The following is a 22,014-nucleotide window of genomic DNA, read 5'->3' as shown; positions in this document are numbered from 1 at the left end:
TTCAAGGTCCCTCTTTCCTCTTTGGTAAAAGGAATTGTAGAAGCGTGCCAAGTCCAAGCAGTACAAACAGCAAATAATCACTTGGAAGAGAAGCTTGTTGAAATGAGTCTTTGCTGGGGACAAGGCCGGCTGGCAGGCTTGGCCTATAAATCATTGCTCCCTCGTCGGCTTATTGGCTCTTGCAAAGAGATGAACTCAGCTGACTCTGACATTTCCCAGCTCCTACGACTGTGGCCTGCACACAGTAGGTACTTCCTCAATGTTTGTTGAACTGAATAATGGCAAAGGCAGCTGGGAAGTATGAGGGGGTAAAAGCCATGTCCACCCAAATAGGAGACTCACTACGTGAAGCCAAGGCGAGGAAAAAAATCCAAATCAGACGTGGCTTCAGTCTGTAGCCAGAGTGCAGTTCATTCCTGCCAGCCTTAGCTGAAAGGGATTTTGGCGGGGGGAAGCTAAGGGAGGTTAGAATTAACATACTTACTGTATTATGTTGCAGCAGTGATAAGACTAAAATTTTAGGATTTTCTTAATGAGACTCCTGCATTTACTGGTTTTCCTTATCAGCACTGGCAAGAACCACCGTTTAGTATTTATGTCCTTTGCTTTAGAATAGAGGAAGGATCATAAGAGGGGTTGGAAAACTCGCTCTACAAAATGGCTCTGCTCCCTTTCTGCTCTCGCTGTGGCATGCAGGCCCTCTGCCCCAGCCCACCCTGGGGTGGACCGTGCTGCCGCTGACAGGCACCCAGGTGGCAAAGCTTCCTGAGTTCCGGGTTTGCTGAACAAAATGCACACTGGTGCTGGTAAAGAAACCAGTGGAAGTGAGAATGCCAGGCAGTTCTGAATGCCTCTGCCCCCCAAGGTTCTGAGAACCATCCCCCCTCCCCACTAAATGCCCGTAACCACCCCCACAGGCAGGCGCATAGATTCTAACATTCAGTTCTTCAGAGACGGCTCTAACACCTGCTCTCGTGGTCAGCTCCACAGGGAACGCAATCAGGGCACTGACAAAGTCGAGTCCATGCAGGTCCTCACATCTGCACAGCACTGGTCACCTCTGCAGGGCTGGGCTTACTCTGTAAACTCTGTGGCGGCAGCAGGGGAAGAGCTGCACGTCCAACAGCCTGGCCTGGAGGTGGTAGATGGCTTTAGAGAGAGTTGCCACTGGAGTCAGGAATAAAAGCTCGGGGGTCCAGACTCAGGGCTTGGGTTGGAGGAGAAGAAACTCTCTCTCCAGAGACTGAGCCATGGGTTTCCCCACTCATACTCAAGGCTACCAGCCTACTTTGTGGGAAGAGAACCCAAAAGACCCGCCTCACCTTCCCACCCCACCTGATGACTCTCCAACCTGCAAAAAGCTTTTTTTTTTTTCTGATCAGATTTCAAAAAGGTAAAAGGTCTTCCATCTGCCCAGAAATAAGAACAAGCATCCTTCTGTGATCCCAAACATAACCAAAATTCAAAAAGCAATCAAAAGGGCCTTAGAGGCTGGGTGTGGTGGCTCACACCTGTAATCCCAGCACTTTGGGAGGCTGAGGCAGGTGGATCACTTGAGGTCAGGAGTTCGAGACCAGCCTGGCCAACATGGTGGAACCCCATCTCTACTAAAAATACAAAAATTAGCCAGGCGTGATGGTACACGCCTATAGTCCCAACTACTCAGAGACTGAGGTGGGAGAATTGCTTGAACCTGGGAGGTGGGGAGGTTGCCATGAGCCAAGATCATGCCACTGCACTCCAGCCTGGGCAACAGAGCTAGACTCCATCTCAAAAGAAAAAAAAAAGCCTTAGAATAAACACACACTGAAGCTTGGTGTTCACAGGCAAGCCCCAGCATCCTTGTTCATAGCCTATGGATGCTTCCTTTGCAAACAATTCTAACAAGCAGGTCCACAGCAGGTCAGGTGGGTACTAGTGCTTTAGGCAAAAACAATGACCATGGCAAGTTTAACTAATGAGAATAAGGGGAGATGCAGAAAGGCTGTGAAAAGCAGGTGCACAAACTTAGTAAGCATAGTGAGCTTTGACCATTTAGTTCAGGGATAAACGTCCCAACTACCTCTACGGGACCCCTGAGTATTGATGCATCATTGCATAATTAATGATACTACTAAGACCACAGACTGCTTAAGAGTGTGGGCTTTGGAATTCAACAGAGCCTTACGTCCTGGCTCTGATGTTTACCATCTGGCTGCAGTCTATTGAACAACGTGCTGAAACTGAGCCTCTGTTTCCTCCCAAGAAATGGGGTACAGGTAGTTACTACTCTTAGCTATGGGGAGGATGCTGCCTGCCTGCAAAGTGCTCAGTGTCTGGGTCACCTGGAGCATGTTCCCTGCAGAGACATCAATAGACACCAGGGAGGAGGCAGAGAGGAGTGGCTACTGGGCCTGAGGATGCTGAGGGAGCTCATGACTGCCCAGCTGGCCCAATGCAGCACATGGACCTAGGGGACAGGCTGCACCTGCAGCTTCACTGTACTAGGGAGAAGGCCCTGACTCTGAAACCCTGTGTGAAGTTAGAGCACCAGTCCTGCTAGAGGTTTCTGACATGGCTGAGTGGAAATAAAGTCTGCTTGGAAACTTCCAGTGCACGAACCTCGCCTCCAAGGGTGCCATGTAGGAGTCCCTTGTCCTTCCTCCTGCAGGCAGAGCTGGCTAGGAGGGCTTGGGCCACAGCCTTCCCTGGGAGTCCTTCTGCATGGCCTTCTGCATGGCCACAAGGAATGCCCTTGGGGAAGCCCCTCGAAGCAGTCCCCTCCCAGGATACCTCCTGCATGTATCCCACACCACATGGCAGGCAGGGGGCAGATAGACGGATACAGGAATATCCACCATCGACTCTCCTAATTCTAGCCATCCGGTTATGTACGTAGCTTGGGGTAAGGCAAAGAAAAATATCTGAGAAGATGGAAACACCCCTGAGGGGGAGCGGGGGGGGGGGTGGTCTTTGTAAAATGAAAGCAGTAATCAGAATTTGTATATGGAGGAAAGAAGACAATTGTGGAAACTATGCATCCTGAACTCGGGTTTATGATAATGTAACATTTCTAGCAATAATATTTGGGGAGAAAAGACAGATGAAAATGAACTGAACTTTATTCGGGGATCTCATTACGATGACTGTGGTTCCTTTTGTTAAAATACTGAAATTCCTATAATGAGATTTGTGTTGTACTAAGAAGAAATGTATGAAAGAGTCACCTTAAAGCATGGGAAAACTTTCATCCACTGTGAAACCAAAGTTTCTTTCCTTAAAGTGTTGGGAGTACGTAAATAGTCCACTGAAAGAAAAGACTTGTATAAATAATCACCTGCGCCTGTCCTTCCCAGTGGGCTCTGACAGTGCCATGATCTCAGGGCCCAGGAAACAGAGGTCAGGGCAGTGGCCTGACCTTGGCCTCCAGCAAAGGGAGGGAAATTCCAGTAGGTCCCCTCCTTGGATTCCAACACAAGCAAACACAGCCAGCTTTGTTCTTATTTTCCTCCATCACCCCGGCTGGGAAGGCTTTGTTTTTGTTTGAAGTAGTCAACGAATCACAGAAGGCCCTGAAAGCCCCTTCAGGCTCCTTTCCCTCCAGCCCTCCCTGGGTGCAGATCAGGCACCTGAGGCCCTGGAAGGCTTAGGTATCTGAGCCCATGAAAGCGCAGAGGCCAAGCCCAACAGAATTAACACGATGAACACCCCTGCCCTGTACCCCGTTTTGAGGTGGATTTGGCCTTGTCTGGGCTGCTTTCTATTTAGCAGAGGGCTTCACCCTCACCTGGGGTGGTCACTGACCACCTTCAATGAGACTAGGAAGTCTTCAGACCCGTCCTCCTCTCTCTGCCACTCCCTGACCTGGCTTCTCTCCTGGGTGGATGATACCAGTGAAAGGAAAATATCTTGGGGCCTCCAAAATCTCTAAGGAAAACTCAAGCTGGAAATTGCTTAGGGCAAACCAGCCTCCCATTCTATTCAAAATAAATTTGTTCATTAATAAAATCAAGTTCATTAATAAAAGTTCCTCTGCCCACTGAGATAGATTCATATCTGATTGCCTCCTTTGGAAAGGCTAATCAGAAACTCAAAACAATGCAATCTTTGTGTCTCACCTATCTGGGACCTGGAAGCTCCCTCCTCACTTTGGGTCTTCCTGCCTTTGCTTCAAGTTGTCCCACCTTTCCAGACAGAACCGATATACTTCTTACATATATTGATTGATGTCTCATGTCTCCCTAAAATGGATGAAACCAAGCTGTCCCCCGACCACCTTGGGAACATGTCGTCAGGACTTCCTGAGGCTGTGTCACAGGCGAGTCCTCAACTTGGCAAAATAAACTTTCTAAATTCACCGAGACCTGTCTCAGATTTTCTGGGTTCACATACCCCAGGGTGGTTTATGCCAACACTCCCTCTGCTGACAGCTCCTAAATAGGGCAACACCCTGGTCCTGGGCCCAAGCCTCATTCTGCTGCGGGGCTGGCCAGAGTTGGAGGGTGTGGCAGCAGCTGTCTAGAGGCCTTGGCACACTGGCCAGGGGGAGTCATCGGATGCCATGGGAGGCAGGATTCTGGGTCTGAGCTAGCAGGTCAGAATGCCTGGGTGGGAGGGAGCCTGGGGGGGAGGGGAGGACGGGGGACCTGGGACCCTGGGGTATTGCCAAGGCTGACAACATAGGAGCTGGATCTGGCTGGAAGAAGTCATGGGTGGATGACGGGGTAGTGGACGGGTCCAAGACTGACTAGCGGAGGGTCAGTGTCAGTTTACCTAGGGAGGCTGTCCCCGCTTGGTGGCTGCAGCTTCTGACATAGCCTCTGGGCACAGACCCCACAGAACATGAGAAAAGCCTTGAGACTGGAAAGTGCATTCCAGGGCATGGTCTGTGCAGGACTCCCAGAGAGGAGAGAAGTGGGCTCTCCACATGCCGCCTGGCAGCCCAGCCCTCACTAGGCCCACAGAGCAGCCTCTTTCCCTGGGTTAAGGATTGCCTGGGGGAAGTCACTAATAAAAAGAAAACATTTTTCCGAGAAAGCAGAGGAGACTGAACACTTTGGCTGCTTCTGATGCCTGCTCAGGACATCTGGAGCCACTCTCTTGGAGGATGGTCACCCAGTTCATGATATGGGGATAGGAGAAAGGAAAGGGACAGCTGTGGGGTGGCTCAGACCTAGGAGTGACTGTGGAGGGCAGGGGATGGCTGGGGCCCTGGACCAGGTGCATGTGTTGGCGTGTGCAGCTGTGGACCAGGCCCAGTGGGGAGCAAGCACATGCGGTGCTTGCTGCGTGTGGAAGCTGGTGGGGAGCTCAGGTGTCCTGGGTACTGGCCAGGGAGTGCTACAGCGCCCACACCAGCATGGAGAAGGTGCACAGAGCCTTCCCGGAGGGGACAGCTGGGGTTTCTTTTCTAGGGCTGTCTTTTCTAGGCCACGGAAGTAGCAGAGGCAGAGGCCCAAATGGGGCTCAGCAGACAGAGGAAAGCGAGGGCCTGAGATCCGTGAGCATCTCCTGGAGAAGGGAAGATCCCCCCTCTCTTTGCAGCCAGGCTCTTGCTCCCTAATCCCCAGTGGCTCAAACACTTGCCCTCCCAGAGGACCACTGGGTTCTCTCACGAGTCAACGGGTAGGCTCCAACGCTTACATCTTTACTTCTAAGCAAGGAAAATAACAACAGGTCACAGTGAAAACTGCTTAAGACTGTTAGGCGACATTTACAGCGTCAGGGTCATGTGGGAGGAGGAGCCATAGGCCAAGTCTCAGGTTCCCTCCGGGCTGGGTCCCCACGGAGGGGCTGAGGAAGTTGGCCCCCAGCCCACCGGACTTGTCTGCTTTCCCAGAACAAGGATAATTCAGGGGGTTACTCTAATTATTACTTCTATGCTCCCCTTTCTTGAGCATTTATGATGAGCTACACACTATCTCATTTAATCTTCATAGTCCTCTGGGAAAGGGGACTTCTCATCCTCCCTGTTTTGAAGAGGAGAACACTGAAGCACAGAGGTAAAACATGACTTGTCCATGAGGGTCTGAGGGAGAACAAAAATACCTACTTCACTCTCCATCTCATTAACCCCACAAGGCTCAAAGAATGGAAGGCCAATGTATCTTAGAGGCAAGAAGACACTGCACTAAAGTGACTTTCCAGTGGTGGGAATGGGCCCAGCCAGTTTTCTACCACAGGGAGCTGCTGAGCAAATGTGCCCTAGGAGCAGAGAACCCTGGGCAGCCATCCATTCAGCGGGAGTGGACTCCGGCGACACATGGAGACCCAGACATGAATTCCATTAGGAGAAAAATGGGAAACACGAGGCAGCCTTGTATCCACTCTGCACATGTTAAAAAGATGGGAAAAGATTCTGGAAAGGACCAAATTTCAAATGTTATATTAGTTAGGTTCTATTTATTTATTTATTGAGACGGAGTCTCGCTCTGTCGGCAGGCTGGAGTAGTGCAGTGGCACGATCTCGGCTCACTGCAACCTCTGCCTCCCCGGTACAAGCGATTCTCCTACCTCAGCCTCCTGAGTAACCGGGACTACAGGTGCGTGCCACCAGGCCCACCTAATTTTTCTATTTTTAGTAGAGACGGCGTTTCACCATGTTGGCCAGGATGGTCTCGATTTCCTGACCTCATGATCCACCCGCCTCGGCCTCCCAAAGTGCTGGGATTACAGGCGTGAGCCACCGCGCCCAGCCTAGTTAGGTTGTTTTTAAAAGTTTCTGTCAAATGGCTTCTGTTCCTAAGTTTAAAGAAAAAAGAGCTCAGCGGACGGCAGACCCCCGGGCTGGAGGAGAGTGGCTGAGAGAGGACGCGCCTCTGCCTTCCACGTCCACAGCGGGCACAGGGAGACAGGGCTTTCTGCACGAAACCTCTCCCTGGACTTTGCAGGCTCCGCACCACGAAGCAGCTGACAAACAGGGAGCTCTGCACTTTCCCTGTGACAGGAAGGTTCTGGACCCAGGCTCTTGCTCCCAGGCACGTCCGTCACCAGCCTGACAAAGCCCACGCTGCCTCCCCTGTCTTCAGAGACATGGGCTGGCGGGACACCACACGCAAGACTTGGTTCTGCTCTGAGGGTCTGGAGGGAATCCCTGCCTCCTGCCTCCTGCCTCACCCCAGATCAAACTGTGAGGCTTTGTAAGCTGAGATCTGTTCACTAATTCCTCTGTGGCCTCCCCAGTGCCAGGGCAGGCATGGATGAGGGCCCTGGAGGACCTGCTGATTGGCCAACCGGCTCGAGGGTCCACTTCCCAGCCCCTTGCCTATGAGCTGCTTGAATTCCAAGAAGTCTGCCAAGAAGTCAGCTGTTTGTAACTCCAAATGTATTTTCCTGTAGAGACAAAGCCATCAACGGCCATGGGGCTACCTGGCTAGACCCCAGAGGCTGGTATAATCATAACCTAGCTTGCTGCGCCATGGCACAAAAGCCTGAATTATGTGCATTGTCCCTGGAGGGTCTGCTGTGTGCAGGGGAAGAGGAAGAGAAAGGAGTGCGTCCAGTTTGTTTCTCGGTGCTGGGGGCGAGCTTGGCTAGTGTAGCATTCCCACGTGTGTGTGCGCGTGTGTGTATTAAGGGGAAGTTTGTTAAAATAAATGAATCTGGAAATCATGACCCTTGGCCTTGAGCAGTGCAGATGCTAGGCTGTGTGCAGGGTGCTGCCTTCGAATAGTTGCTCCTGGTCAGCCCTTCCCAGTCCCGGGCCCAGCAGGTGCCCATGGCCCCAGAGTCAAGGGTCTTCTGTAAGTAGAGCCCTGCCTTAGCTTCTCTCCTCACTTCCTTTACTGCTCAGCCAGCCAGGCTGGGCAGGGCAGAAGGGATCCATAGTTCTCACTGAAACTCAAGTCCTGGAGCCTCAGAGAACCCTTCTAAGCTCTAGGAGGGAGAGGGGACCCTGCTGTCCAGCTCAGCATCTAATTAATGCCAGAGCTTGTACAAATTGACCAATAGACTATAGCTTTAGAATCACAAAATTGATTCATTTATCTTTTTAATAAAGCATGCGTGACTAGTCCCATGCTTTGTGGGGACAGCTATCAATCAACACGGCAGACCAGGCTCCTTCTGTGCCCACTAACTCACTCATGGAGCCACCACAGAGGAACAGCCACTCTGCTCAGATGCCGTGGAGGGCTGCAACTTCTCAGATCTAGTCCTTGTGGTTTCTTTGGGGAGCCGCCTATGAACTTGGTCTAAGTCAACAAACAATTGTGTATTAATACAATTTGGTGCTCTCTGCACTTCATGTGCCATTTGAGCATTCGTGCCAGTTCCATTTAGATCCTCGTTCACAGGAGACCTTCTGTGGGCCAGGAATTGTGCTGGGCATGGGGGATGGTCAGACAGATAACACAGTATTCCTGCCTTTAAGGGTGGACCTTTACAGTTTGTTATAATTGTGACAAGAGTTACTACACAGAAAAACACAGGAGCTGTGGAAGTAGAGACGGGGGCCCCCCAAGGCCCACAGGCACAGCTGGAAAAGACTTCCTGGAGGAGGTGGTGCCTGAGCCAAGTCTCTGAAGAGGGGAAGCCAGGTGAAGAAGGGGTAGGGATATTCTGGGCAGAGAAACATCCTTAGTAATGAAATAGCATGTATGTTGTGCTCAGGAACCGGAAGGGACTTGGAGTAAATGAGCAAGTTGGGGAGTAGAGGTTGTGGGAGTGGGGGTCAGAGGCTAAGACATGACCCTGAACACCAGGTCCTAGGGTGCAGGGGGATATGGGGGGCTTTACAGGCTGTTCAGAGGTGGTCCTGTTGAATAAGGACCCTCCCTTGGGCTGTGGTGGTAGAAATGCGAAGAGGGACAATTTGGAGAAATATCCAGAAAGTGATTTGGGTTAGAGTTGGTGGTTAACTATCAAGTTCATTAATTCATTAACAAACAGTTCCCAAGTGTCTCTGTGTGCTGGGCTAGTGTTGGGTGGAGGGAAAAAGACATGTCTCAGATGAACCCTAGTTTTTAGGCTTGAGAGGCTGGGGGAATGGTGGTGAAATTCTACTGAGATTAAGGACATAGGAGGGACAAGTTCAGGGAAGTCATTAATGGAAGTGCAGGAACTGGAAGGATGGGTGGGTTTCACACAGGTGAAATAGACAGAAAAGAGCATTCCGGGTGGAAGAACCAACTGAAGCCAAAGCAGCAAGGATAGATGGAGCGTGGTCTATTTTCATGAAAGAGAAACTAGACCCTCTTCTTCGAGTCCAGAGGTTTTGAATTAGGAGAATGACAGATCACCACACCCAGACACACTGACCTTCTTCCTAACGGTGCCTCAAAGAAATCAAGCAACATCATCCATTTACTGACTGACAATGGCAAGATCCAGGCCACATGGTCAAGTGGCTGCTTCTCAAATTTGCAGACAGAGGTGCCAAAGAATTCTGTCATCAGCTGTTCCTAGATCCCTGCTGCTAGCCTTCACCTACAAAGTCCAGTCAGGGCACTCGTCAGGATGGTGGAGAATGAGGAAGAAACGTGCAGGAGAGACCAAGGCAATTTCCAGGAAAACCATAAGCCCAGCCTCCTGTGGGGCCGGCGTCTGCCCACCCACCTGGCACTCTGCACCCTGAGGCCACTTAAGGGCTCTCTGATCTGGGGCACTATAGCTCTAAGGTCCACTCCTTATCCTCCCCTGCCCAGGTCTCTCTCCAATGGAGCCCTGAGGGTTCCAAGAACTGGAAAGTGGGAAGCCTGATGCCCAGCTCCTCAGATGAAAAACAGGCAACTGCATTTTCTTGCTCCTTGGAGGCTCCTCAACCTCACTCCCTGGCAGCATAATTACAGATGCCTCCCCCCTTACAAACCCTGCCTACGCACTGCATAAAGGAATACAATTTCTGGCTGTCCAAATTACAAGAGACCATAATGCACAAAAGCAATAAACACAGGTTCTAACAGCAATCAGATACCACTTATTGTAAACAATGGTTTTTGTGATTTATTGCGTTTGAAGCAGGTTCAGCATTACTCCTTAGAAGATTTGGTTATTCTTGTTTTCAAGCAGAGTTGCCGGCAGCCAGCTGACGTCAGATGAAATTGCTCAAGTGCAGCAGATTTTAAAAATAAGGCCTATGTGTTGTTAAAATAATAATCATAGAAAATTTGGGGTGGCTGTAGGCTGACGTGGAAAGTCTATAGATGGAGCCTTTTGGGGTTTTTAGGCCCTCTTGCCAGAGTCCACACCTCCTCGGTGGGTCCTGCACCCAGCGCATCCTCGATCCTAATGCCCAGCACTTCCGATCTCTCCCTCTGCCCTCCTGTCCTCTGAGTGACGTGGGAAGGAGGAGGAGACTCGTAACCAGCTGACAATCCTGTCAGTTTGGATTATCACGTCAAGCGGTTCAGCTTACCTGCTCAGGCCTTAGTTAGTACTCAGGTCCTGGGAGAATGTAGAAAAGTCAAGTTTAAACAATGCATTTGAGCCAAGAGTTTGGTAATGATCATCCAAAACGAAACCTGCCTGGTTCTAGCAGAAGCGGCGGTCCCTTCTCTCCTGGACCCTGCCCACCCTGACAGAGGGCGTGGCTCAGAAGGCAAGGAGGATTTCCGAGGGCAGGCATTTTCAAACTGGCTCAGAGGAAGCCTCAGATCCCATATGGGTAATTCAGGGACTCCAGAAAGAGGCATCTCTGCTTCGACCAGGGAGTTCTGCCTTTATTCATTGTCTCTGGCAGATTTCTATAAGATTGTTTAAGAAAAAAGAAATTGGATTGCAGAACTAGTCCCAAAATAGGAGTCAGCAAGTTCTGTCTCTCTGACCCTTTTTCCACCCTCCCCAAATTTAACATTTCCCCATGACTTAAAAGTGCAGGCAAAAGGATGAACCCACTCCAAGACGGTAACTACAGTGAGACCCTTTGAGAAGCACCACGCTCTAAGGAGGTGTGGCCTTCTCCCCTCTTGGGGGTCACCACGCGTGAAGCATGCCAAGGATGGCTGACAGTGGACTCCCCAAGCCTCCTGAGCCACATCCCACAGCCCACGGCCTGTGTGCCCCCAGGGACTGGGTTTGAAGGGACACATCCTGGTGTGAGGCTGAGTCCCCACAGCATGCACAGAGAAGTACGACACGTTGTCACCTGAGTGGACTGTTAGTGCCTGCAATCTCCAGGGCCTGGAAAAGACACCCTTTAACCAACAGACAGCCCCCTCCAGACAGAGGCGCATACACAGTCCTGTACCAGCGGATGCTTCATTTCAGTCTGGGAGGCGAAGCTCTCTGTTCTTAGCTTGGAGCAGAGAGCAGAAAAATCACTGAGCTATATAGATCACGATAAGGAAAATGGATTTGTTAGTGACTACCCAGTCCTTAGAGAACAGCCGTGATATCTTGTTTGAAGTAAATTCGCAGAACATCACTCATTTGGGTGGAAAAAGCCATATTGATCGCTAACATTTATTGCATACTTATATTCCAGATATCATTCTAAACTTCTTTTATAATTAGCTTAATCCTTGCCATATCACAATGTGATAGGTATTTTTATCATCCCAATCTTTTTTTTTTTTTGAGACAGAATTGTGGTCTTGTTGCCCAGGCTGGAGTGCAATGGCGCGATCTCTGCTCACAGCAACCTCCACCTCCCAGGTTCAAGCAACTCTCCTGCCTCAGCCTCCCAAGTAGCTGGGATTACAGGGATATGCCACCATGCCCAGCTAATTTTGTATTTTTAGTAGAGACAGAGTTTCTCCATGTGCGTCAGGCTGGTCTTGAACTCCCGACCTCAGGTGATCCACCCACCTTGGCCTTCCAAAGTGCTGGGATTACAGGTGTGAGCCACCGCGTCCGGCCTATTATCCTGATCTTAAAGACGAGGAAACTGAGGCTCAGAGAAGTTAGGTCATTTGCTGAGGTCACCCAGCCAGTAAGTGGAAGTGCAGTTCCAAAGTCTGCTGCATCCACTGCGGGTTCCGTCACCGCCATGCATGTTGTTTTCTACCGAGAGCCCTGACATATTTATCTCTGTGTGGTCTCCTGTCAACTCTTTGTTGGCCGGGATCAATATGTGTATCGGAAGACAGGTGGGGTGAATACTGTTTAAAACAACATCAACTCTCACCTGCTGGAGTCAGAACTCGCCACCAGCACGTGTTGTTCACCAGCTGGGTTCCCCCACCACCCCCACCAGCCACACACCTCCCTCCTGAGAGATAAAGTCACTGCAGCCACGAACCGACACAGAACATCTGAAACTCTTAAGCCAGCAAACAAACCTTTGTTAAGTGACGATGTGTCAGGCACCGATATCACATCCCCAGACAGCAAACAGGAATTTCAGAAAAAACAAAATTTGTGTTTTGATAAAGACAAAAGGGATACACTGCTCAAAGATACTCTCAACGCTGAGATAAGTTTTTATCCAGATCCTCATATCTCCCAGCCTCCCTGTCCTCACACACAGCTAACCCTCAGCCTCGAATCATCTCTGTGCAGAGGAAGACGTGAGAAACACCACCTTCCAGGGACTGCTTCCCTAACACTCCCCGCTCCATGGGGACCCATCTTCCTTCTCCAAGCTCCTGAGGCACTTTTTGGTCTGCGCCCTCCAACTGGGCAGTGATTGGATTATTATACTGCATGACACTTTCTCTGATTGTCTTGTGCAGGTCTTGATTCCTTGACTAGGGAGCTCCTTGAAGGTGAGGCTGTGCTGTACCCTTTATTTACCCATGCGATGGCACTTCAGGGGGCACCACTGGGAGTCACCTGGTGAGCTTATTTAGTTTATTTAAATGTCAAATCCTGGGCCACACTCCTAAAGATTTTGACTCAGTGTCTCAGAAGTTCACATTTTTATCAAATGCCCTAGAAACTTCTGATGCCAGAGGTCTGAGGGCCCTCAGAAGGAAGCAACCCTGCCAACAGCTTCATCTTGGACTTCTAAGCTCCAGGATTGTGAGAAAATACATTTCTGTTCTGTAAGCCACACCCTGTCTGTGCTACCTTGCTATGGTGGCCCTAGCAAACTAATACAGCATCCACAGCAGATATTTTGCAAATATATATTTTTTTGTCCAAACTCATATTGGCCAAACTGTTTGACTGCCTGGAATTCTTCACCAGAGTATTCCCACCCCAGGGCAGTGACGTGCTGTCCCCCAGAAGCCTGCCAGTCCTGACTCGGCCGCCTGTCACTAGGGCAGGAGATGGCTTGAGAAGGCATCTCTCTCAGCCCTACACCTGCCCAGCCTTGGGATCCAGCCACCACTTGTCTCCCTTAGGGCAGGAGCCGCCCTCCCTCTGGAGCTCTAACCTCTTGTCATTGTCACCAGCCACTCACTAAGCTCTGCTCTCTGGGCCAGGTGCCACCCAGCTCCTGCTCCCTCCCTCCCAGATAAGCCAGGCCTTATTGTTTGTAAGACTTGGCTGGTGACAATCGGGGGACCCTGTGGGCAGACCCTCAGGAAGGGGGCAGCTCTGCTTGTCCCAGCCTGTGTTTAAGGGATGGACAGACCCACAGCAAAGCCTGTTGAGGCTTGCTCACAGGGACAGCTCACCATCACCACCACCATGGCTGGGGTGGCCCCACACAGCAGGCCATAGAAGGGTCAGGTGCTCACAACTGGGGCTGAGCTAAGGGAGGGTGTCCTGGGATGCCAGCCCTAGAAACTGGATACTAAATGAGGAGGTGGCTCAGCAGCAAACCTCAGCGGCCCTGGTGCCCCCAGTCATGCTTCTTGGTTAAGTCTCCCCCATCTTCCAGACATTTCCTGTCACTCCCCAATCCATCCCCTGCCATAACCACTAGAAATAAGCTCTTCTGAGGGCAAGATTTCAGCAAACTCCCCTGTCACTGAGCACATGGCCTCACACTGAATAAAGGGTCTTTAGGATGCTCTCAGCTCCACCTCCGTCTCATTTCCTCCTCTCCTTGATCCTGTTTTCTCCCTGGGGTATGGGTGACTGTGTAGCCAGTGTGATTAACTCTGCCGGGACCATAATCTCAGGAAGGAATGATGGAATGGAAATCTTTTTTGGAATATAAATCAAATAGAATTTCAGTTGAAGTTATTTAAAAGAAATTAATTGACTTGTACTCGCCACAATACACTGATAAGAGTTCATTGCCAGGTCCGTCAGGAGGAATGAAAAAACAGTTAATAAAATTCAGCTGTCAAAAGCAGCACCCAGCCGCTCTCCAGAGGCCTCCCACCACCCCCCGGGTCACAGCGGGTGGAGTGCACTGGTTTGCAGGGGCCAAGCTCAGGCTTTGCTGTATTTTTCTCTTGTGTAGGATTACTCGAGTTTTAATACTATAAGATTCTTAGGGCTGAGACTTTTTCCCAAGCTGCTTTGTATTTCTGTATTGCACCGTGCACATATTAAATCACAACTGAAGGAAGGATGCCACAGATATAAGACTGTTTTTGCATTCAGTAATTCATTTTTTTTTCATTTGAAAGGCCTCCTAAAGAGATATTTCTTCTCCCCCTTATTGACTGTAATGACCTTAAAGAGGAGGGAGTGGCGATATTTAATTAAATATACCATCCGCCCCTGTCCCTCACTCTCCCAGATCCACAGGCAAGAATAAGTTATGAACTTAAACACACACACAGAGTAAGGCAAGGGAAGGGTAGACTCTCCACACAGCAGTCCAATGAAGATCCTGGACATGGCAGCCAGCCCCATCACCCCACCCACATTACAGCACTTCCCAGCCTCAGCTGGGTGTCATTTGCCTTTCTCATAAGAGATGAGAGTCCTTGCAGTGTGGAGGCAGAAATAACCCGGTATCCCCAGGTCTCCACCAGCCGCAGTCTTCCCGGGTGCCTGAAGCATCTGCTCCTGCCCTGAGCCCTTCTCTTGTGTAGAATATCTGGAGCACCCACCATCACACATTCCGGGCCTGAAGGAGCTGATGGACGTTTTATTTTATTTCTATACCATCCTTGGCACTTCCAAGCAGTAACCCATTTGATTCTCATGACGGAGGTACATAGGTACTATTTTTATCATCCAAATCTTTTACAGATGAGGGAACGGAGGCACAGAGAGTTTAAGTCACCTACCCAAGGTCACACAGTAAGTGACAGAGCCAGGATTGAAACCACCCGGTCTAGCTCTAGATTCTCTGCTTTCTCCATGACAGGGAAGCTGCCTTTTGCTGTGCTAGGCTGTGCTTTATGTTAAATGTCCCTGCAATCAGGGATAGATGTTGGGAGCTGGTTTGCTGAATTGCCTGTATTGAGTCCACAGGTTGTGGGAACCCAGTGTGGGGTCCCACCTCAGGAATCTGCACAGAACAGACACACAGGCATTTTATCAAGACTTTGGGTTTTGTCTGCAAGATGCGGGGATCCCGCGGCTGAGATATTGTGGCAAACTGCAATCTCAAGTTCTTCTAGAACCTCGACACTCCCCCATCAAGAGGTGGAGCCTAATTCTCTCCTCTTGAATCTACGTGGACTTGTGATTCACTTGTAACTAATAGAATGGAGCACAGGTGTGCTTCTGAGGCTAAGTCCTCAAAGGCAGCACAGCTCCTACCTGTTAGCTGGGACCCCTCCTCATGGCCCTGAGCTTCTGTATGAGCAGAAAGCCCGGTAGAGGTCCCATCGGGCAGCATTACTGCCAGCCATCTGAGTGAAGATGCTTTGGAGGATCTCCAGCCCCTGCAGGTGGACCACCCAACCTGTGAGTGTTCCCAGCTGAGGTCCTAGACACTGAAGACAAGCTCTCCCCACTGTGTTCTGTCTGAAGTCCTGACCTACAGAATCTGTGAGAGTAGTAAGACGGTTGCTTACACCTCCAGGTTTGGGGTGGTTTGTTACACAACAGGACTGGAACAGCGTTGAGCCACACAGTTTCTTGGGTGCCTGCCACTGGCCACTTCCTTCCTGTCCTAAGCGTGGGGTCTTAGGGGCCTCAGACCCAGGCCCCTGCTGGGAGGCTGAGAATAGGGACCGTATGAGGAGCATGCGTGAACCAGGAGCCGTCCCTAGGACAACACTAACTTCTATGGCCTTGTCTGTATTTTCCAGTCTGAGTGTCTAAAATCTGCTAAACATTCCCAGTTTGATTGGCAATCATTATGGCAAACATGTAAGTGGCCAAAGATAACAAAGAGAACTATAGAGCCATGGAAGATCAGGCTAGAAGTGATCTTAGCGACCTTTTAGCCCAACCTCTCACTCAGATGGGGCAACCGAGACATAGGCAAGGGAATGACTTGTCAAAGGTCAGAGCAACAACAGAGGCAGAGCCAGGAACAAACAGGCTGCTTTGGGTGAATTTCCAAAGGTCAGGCCCGAAGTGAGGCCAGGTCCCTCCAAACTGCTCCCAGAGATGCACATCCTGGGTCCCTATCTAGGCTTGAGTCAAGGGAGGGGTGAAGTCACACTCAAGAGCAGACGTTAAACATTTAGATTTCAAGAATGTAGCCTCTGCCGAGAGGCACTACAAAGTCAGGGTAGGTGAGTCCCAGGTGCTGTGACATCCCCGAAGCCAGCTGTTGTTGTTGCTCTTGTGACTGTCATTAAGGACAGGCAGCAGGAGAGGGAAGGACGGAAGGACACCCGTGCACTGTGACGCTGCTCCGGGACGGGGCTGGCACTGAGGCCATTTGAGGCGGAGATAAGAAATGGGTAATCTTATTATCTGGTGGGCTAGCACACACAAACAGGCCCCTGAAATGGGCCCTGCTCCTTTGTTCATTTTCTTTCTTACCTTAGCCATTCTGCAAGTCCCTGCTATTTATTTTCCTGCCTCTTATGTTACAGGATCTGGATGTTGATGGTGCTTACAGGTGTGTGGGTCCCTGCACCAGGAAGGCTATGATGGCATGCACGGGAGTGAGCGCCACCAACAGCTGGGCACACCCGTGCAGGTCCACCCAGGCAGCGATGTTGAGCCTGAGGAAATGCGGCTGCCTTCAAACTTTGATTAGAACCCCAGGGTCGGCTGCAGTCTAGCTTTGGTCACAGCTTTTCTGCATTCTATAAAAAGACTCTAAAGGCTCTGAGTGTGGAAGGTTCTCTGGCATAAGTTCAGCATTCTTCTCCCTTTCCCAAATCTCACTCTGGGAAGGCTATGCAGCTCTGGAAGAGAGACTTCTACCCCACCCTGTAGGTGTCAGGGGTTTTGGCATTCAGAAGAGCTGGATGCAGAAGGCAGGCTCATGGTTCTTTTGAGGAGTCAGGCTGTTCAGGTTTGCACTCCTGGGAGCTTTGATGGTGTCCCCTACATGGCTGGAACCAGGAAAGGAAGAGCCGGTGGTTCCTGGAAGAGAGGCGATGGCTGCTGAGCCACATGGTCCCATGATGTAATGCTCTGATGTAATGAGTTCCCTGCTGCTCCCCGTGGCTGTGGCTGCAGCCCCTTTAAATGTCCTAGTGTGATTTCAGCAGCCACAAAGAGGAAGGAAACAGCCTTGAGTACCCCACTTGGGCCAGAGTGGTCAAAAAGGGAGGAGCTAGGGTCCTTGTCCCTGGCAAGGCGGTGGAGTAACAACAATTAATAAAAGACCCTACAGGAGCAGTGGCTCTTGGGGGATAAGGATCAGGTTGAAAGGTCCTCGCCTGTGCAGAGATTCTCTCCCCAGTGGCAAGCTATAGGGCCTGGCTCTGTTACTAGGGAAGGTATTAGTTCCATGGCAGAGGTGCATCGTGGCAATGTGTCTCTATCAAATCTGTAGGTGAAGGGTCAGGCCATAAGCCTTCCTGTGCCTTCAACTTCGCGAAGATAAGCTGCTCTGTTGTCTAGCGGATGACCTGTGAACAACGGCAAGCTGTCCAGCCTGTTGCAACATGAACCAAAATCATGCCCATCTGGAATATGTCTGGGCCCGCCCATCATTCCCAGGGAAGTTTGCCTGTTTTCTCAGCATTTTCTTAAAAGAAGATGAAAGGATACCAAGGGTTCTCAAGCCCAGAGTGCTCCTGTTGCTGCAGAGTGGCTGGTAATGAAGCCGTTCCCCAGGCCCCAGCATGGTCCTCGTGGTCGGGCTCTGGGCTGCATGATCGGGGGAGGCTGACCTAATTAGCCTGGCTGGGAGCTGCCTGGCATTGGCAGTGATAGACGGAACATCCTCTTCAGAGACCCCCAACGCCCTTTGGTTGCTCCTGAACTGGGTCAGGTGTCCTCTGAACCCACCCTGTAGGGGAAGGGCTGGGAGGACACTTCTGATGTAAACCCAGAGCACATGCAAGTTCAAATCCCCACCATTCTCTGGCCTCTCTTCCACGTGACACTGGTATGGGGGTGCCTTTTGAGCATGTTCCTTCCAGTCACCAAAGTCAGTCTAGTAGGAGCTTCCATCTGTTCTCTGGAACTTTCTGTAGGTGGCTCTCCAGGGGTACTTGGGAGGACTTCCCTCCTGGACAAGGAAGCCCTGGCAAGGGACCTGGGTGGGGGCTTTGAGAGGCTGTTGGGATGCAGGGATGGGGCAGCCATGCCTGTGGCCACCCAGACAACCTAACCAGAGTCCACCTTAAGAGGCAGAGGGATGAAGCCACATGTGGACAAAAAGATGGGCAGGAACAGAGGGGAGAAGCGGCACACCTGCAGCCATGATGCCCCTGCAGGAAGGGAAGGAGCGGTGCAGAGAGCTGGAGAGGCCTCTGAGCAAAGTGTCCATCAGGGCCCCAGCCGGGGAGAGCCTCTGAGCACATGCCTCGAGAGAACACCTCCACGGAGGTCGGGGAGGCAGCTGCTAGGGTCCAGGGGACAGCTTGCCAGGACAAGGCCTGTCTCCTCTGACACCCTGCATCACAGGGCTCTCAGATCTCCTCTCAGTGCCTGGGCCTCAGTTTCTCCACCTGCAAAGGCCCCTAGCAGCAGAAAGTGAGGGACCATGGTGAACGACACTTAACCTCGAAGGGAGAGACACTGTCAAATATAGTGTATAAAAAGCCAAACATGAGAGAAGACAGAGCATTCTGGTAGAGGGGAGGAGAGGATTTAAGGGTTTTGTTCCCAGCGGGAAGGTGAGAGGCAAAAGGATGCTCTGAAATGACTGTCCCCCTCATGGCAGCAGGTGGGCAGATCAAAGCTGCTCAGTGCCTGCCCCGTGGAGGCTTCGGTTGGCTGCCTGGGAGGAGCTGGGTCACCAGGGCCATCAGCTGAGCTTGGTGGTTTGAGGAGGAGAGGCCTGGGCACATTCAACGGCCAGAATGGCGGCCCACAGGCTGGGCACACAAGGCCCCTGAGCAGACTGAGGGGAGCTGCCACGGCTCCTGGCTTGTGCCCGGCACATGCTGGCTCGAGGACAGCCAGCCCCAGAGGCCCAGAATTACTGAGTCCAATCCAAGCCCAGCCCCGGCACTAGAACCTTGCTCCAGCTTCTTTTTCTGGCCCAGTTAGTGCCTACCCCCTTCCAGTTCCAGCTGCAAACAGGAGCCATGACTCCCTTTCAGGGAAGGCTGGGCCTCTTTCCCTGCCCCCTGTGCCCCCTCCCTCCAGCCTCCCTAACTGGAAACACTGGGACTTAACCATGGAAACCCTAGGGAGGCCCCGGGGCTCCAGACAGCCGCCTTTGCTGCCCAGAGGTGAGGCCTTGCCTAAAGCTCCAGGCCTCTGACCCCATGGGCAGTGGGGCACCCTGTAGACATCCCTGCCTGTAGCTCTTCTTAGTGCCTAGAAGTGGCCCCCACTCCGACCCTGAAAACTCCGGAATGCTAAGGCTGGTGGGCGATCAGAGCTCTCACCCTCTGCTTGAACTTTTTCCAAATAAATTAACGTTCTAGATCTCTGACATTTGTCTCTTTAAGCACAAATATTAATTTTTAAAAATTCTAATAATTTTTTTTGCTTGAGCACACTTCTGGAACGTATTAAAACTTATCTGGCCCCTGAACACAGTATACGAAGCATAACCTTCTCTTCCCTTGATGACCTGGGATTGCTCTCAAGAATACCCATTACTGGCCTGAGCTGTCACTGCCTCCTCCCGAGCTCCCAGTAGGATGTCCAGACACTGCCTCTGGTCAGCCCTGTCTTGGCCCTCAGGGACCTCTGGCTGGCTTGGAGAGTGCTTTTGTGTGGCGTTCCCAGCCCAGTGGGTTCATCTGGGCTGGAACCAGAGGCTCCTAGTGGAGGAGGGAAGGATGCAGGCACAGCAGAAGCATTCTATCATTTGAATGCCTGGGGTCTGCCTCCGCCTCTCTTTAAACAAAGACGGCAATGTGTGCAGGACTGTGTGGACTAGAGGTCTGGCGTGCTGTGCTCTGAGACCTCCTGTCTGTGTTTCCTTCCTCCTTCGCTGGCAGCTGCTGCCGGTCAGGGTCACAGAACTCACTTGTCACCTGTGGCCCTATTTTATCCATGGGGGCCTGGGAGGAGCTGGAACATGGACGGGGGCAGCTCCTACCCAACAAAGGAAGGGCCTCCTGGCCATGGTGCCTCTGTTCTGGATGAGCGAGGCTGCAGCAGTCTCGGTGGGCTCGTGGTGTGTAGCGGCAGGGACCCTATGAGGAGCCTGCGTGAACCAGGAGCCATCCCTAGGACAACACTAACTTCTATGGCCTCGTCTGTATTTTCCAGTCTGAGTGTCTAAAATCTGCTAAACATTCCTAGTTTGATTGGCAATGATCATGGCAAACATGTAAGTGGCCAAAGATAACAAAGAGAATTATAGAGCCATGGAAGGTCAGGCTACAAGTGACCTTAGTGACCTTTTAGTCCAGCCTCTCGCTCAGATGGGGCAACCGAGACACAGGCAAGGGAATGATTTGTCAAAGGTCAGAGCAACAACAGAGGCAGAGCGAGGCCCAGGCCAGCCCGGAGCAGCCATCCCCTGCCAGGTCTACTTCACAGGACAGCAGCCTCCACTCAGATCTGCCTGCCCTTGCCGTAGCCCTGTGCATTTTAATTGCTTACTCCTTTTCTTATCATGCCCTGGGGTAATTTTACAAAGGGCACAACTACGACATTCAAACAAAACACATCTATTCTCAGGTTATTTTTCCTGATGTAAATCCTTATGATTAAAGAGGAAAATACAACTGTAGGTAAGACAGGCCAAAAAAAAGAAAAAGAAAAAAGAAATATTTCAAGCTTGGCCATCCCCAACAGACCTGAGTCCTGCTAGAATTTTAGTAACCAAGCCAGTGGAGCCAGCTAGAGAGGGCTGAAAAGGGAGAGACCTAGAAGGGGCTTGGACCACACTGCAGCCTGGCTTCTTCTATCTGGAAGTGTCCGTGGTGCTTGGAGAGACAGATGCAGGGTGCGGTTGGGAACCCCACAGGTCCCCCATAAGAATGTGGAGTGGCCACCAGCATCATGGGAATAAGACACACACTGCATCTAAAGAGATCAGCAAAGTGGCCCAGTGGTGGTTTGAATCCCTGCTGACCGCCTGCGCCTAGTGACAGGTGCTGGAAGGGCCAAACACGAGGGGGATGAATTGGTCATATAGGTAGATTTGCAGGAGTTTTATTTCATGCGGGTCAGAGGATGAAGGGGCACAGGGGCCAGAGCCGTCTCTGCCCTCTGCCAGGCCCTGTGCAAGTGTCCTCCCCCTTAGGGGCCAGAAAATCTGGGGCCCCCCAAAAGGTGGGTGGTAGGTGTGGGGAGAGCTGCTGAAACACCCGACTCCCTCCCGGGAGAACCGCCCACTAGTGAGCCTCCGAGCTGCACGGCAGCGTCTCAGGAACACACTGTTCTCTTTGTTGGGGCAGAAATATGTTCGATGCTGATTATGCAGACCGATGAGTAGGCCTCTCTCTCGCTCTCTCTCCCTCTAATCTGGAGTCCTCCTGCTCGGCGGGCACAATTGCATGCAAGCGATCCCGGAAAAAGCACAGAATGAATTTTTTTGCCATCCATTGTTCTGGAGGCATTGCGAATGTCTGACATTCCAGGTGTAGAGTTGTGTAGCTGACTAGACTTCAGAAAACCTCCCGGTCTGAGCCAGGAGCACTACAACCTGTGAAGAATGTGCACCCGGCCTGGCTACACAGCAACAGCACCCGATGGGCCCAGGAGCCAGCAGGAGACCTTTCTTGGAGGAAGGAGTCTTTTTTCTTTGGTTTGAAAATGCAGGTGATGTTTTAAAATTAAAATTAAATTAAGATGCATGTTAAAAACAAA

General features: G+C 51.2%; 1 protein-coding gene and 1 long non-coding RNA gene across 3 annotated transcripts in view, besides 5 other annotated features; one reads left to right on the top strand and one right to left on the bottom strand.

The window, feature by feature from the left end:
• Nucleotides 1–735: part of an enhancer, noted in NCBI's record as "CDK7 strongly-dependent group 2 enhancer chr2:23746074-23747273 (GRCh37/hg19 assembly coordinates)", that runs on past the window's edge. NCBI's record gives its function as "activates an origin of replication core promoter dependent on BRD2, BRD4, P300/CBP, MED14 and CDK7 cofactors, with strong dependence on CDK7, by STARR-seq in HCT116 cells {active_cell/tissue: HCT116}" and the evidence as "EXISTENCE:reporter gene assay evidence [ECO:0000049][PMID:35650434]".
• KLHL29 (kelch like family member 29) overlaps nucleotides 1–22,014 on the bottom strand; it is a 323,428-nt gene that overhangs the window by 184,668 nt on the left and 116,746 nt on the right. Inside the window, exon 1 of one of the 2 annotated variants that reach the window (XM_006711929.4) lies at nucleotides 1–16,711. The exons of the other annotated variant lie outside the window; for it this stretch is intronic. The gene's annotated coding sequence lies outside the window, so the exon portion shown is untranslated. Of the gene's footprint in view, nucleotides 16,712–22,014 lie in introns of those variants that run through there. 2 annotated transcript variants of the gene reach the window in all.
• LOC105374325 (uncharacterized) overlaps nucleotides 1–22,014 on the top strand; it is a 28,384-nt gene extending 6,370 nt beyond the window's left edge. Inside the window, exon 2 of the long non-coding RNA XR_939831.2 lies at nucleotides 16,707–22,014. This is a non-coding gene — a long non-coding RNA (uncharacterized LOC105374325). The remainder of the gene's footprint in view (nucleotides 1–16,706) is intronic.
• Nucleotides 3,310–3,811: an enhancer, noted in NCBI's record as "NANOG hESC enhancer chr2:23742998-23743499 (GRCh37/hg19 assembly coordinates)". NCBI's record gives its function as "activates a minimal SCP1, AML or CMV promoter by ChIP-STARR-seq in naive H9 embryonic stem cells {active_cell/tissue: H9 hESC(naive)}" and the evidence as "EXISTENCE:reporter gene assay evidence [ECO:0000049][PMID:30033119]".
• Nucleotides 6,426–6,926: an enhancer, noted in NCBI's record as "H3K4me1 hESC enhancer chr2:23739883-23740383 (GRCh37/hg19 assembly coordinates)". NCBI's record gives its function as "activates a minimal SCP1, AML or CMV promoter by ChIP-STARR-seq in primed H9 embryonic stem cells {active_cell/tissue: H9 hESC(primed)}" and the evidence as "EXISTENCE:reporter gene assay evidence [ECO:0000049][PMID:30033119]".
• Nucleotides 17,424–17,924: an enhancer, noted in NCBI's record as "H3K4me1 hESC enhancer chr2:23728885-23729385 (GRCh37/hg19 assembly coordinates)". NCBI's record gives its function as "activates a minimal SCP1, AML or CMV promoter by ChIP-STARR-seq in naive H9 embryonic stem cells {active_cell/tissue: H9 hESC(naive)}" and the evidence as "EXISTENCE:reporter gene assay evidence [ECO:0000049][PMID:30033119]".
• Nucleotides 19,228–19,776: an enhancer, noted in NCBI's record as "H3K4me1 hESC enhancer chr2:23727033-23727581 (GRCh37/hg19 assembly coordinates)". NCBI's record gives its function as "activates a minimal SCP1, AML or CMV promoter by ChIP-STARR-seq in primed H9 embryonic stem cells {active_cell/tissue: H9 hESC(primed)}" and the evidence as "EXISTENCE:reporter gene assay evidence [ECO:0000049][PMID:30033119]".

This window comes from Homo sapiens, chromosome 2 (genome assembly GCF_000001405.40).
Source record: "Homo sapiens chromosome 2, GRCh38.p14 Primary Assembly".
Taxonomy (NCBI): Eukaryota; Metazoa; Chordata; class Mammalia; order Primates; family Hominidae; genus Homo; species Homo sapiens.
The sequence above is the reverse complement of the archived record's forward strand: the minus strand, read 5'-3'. Positions and strand labels throughout refer to the sequence as shown.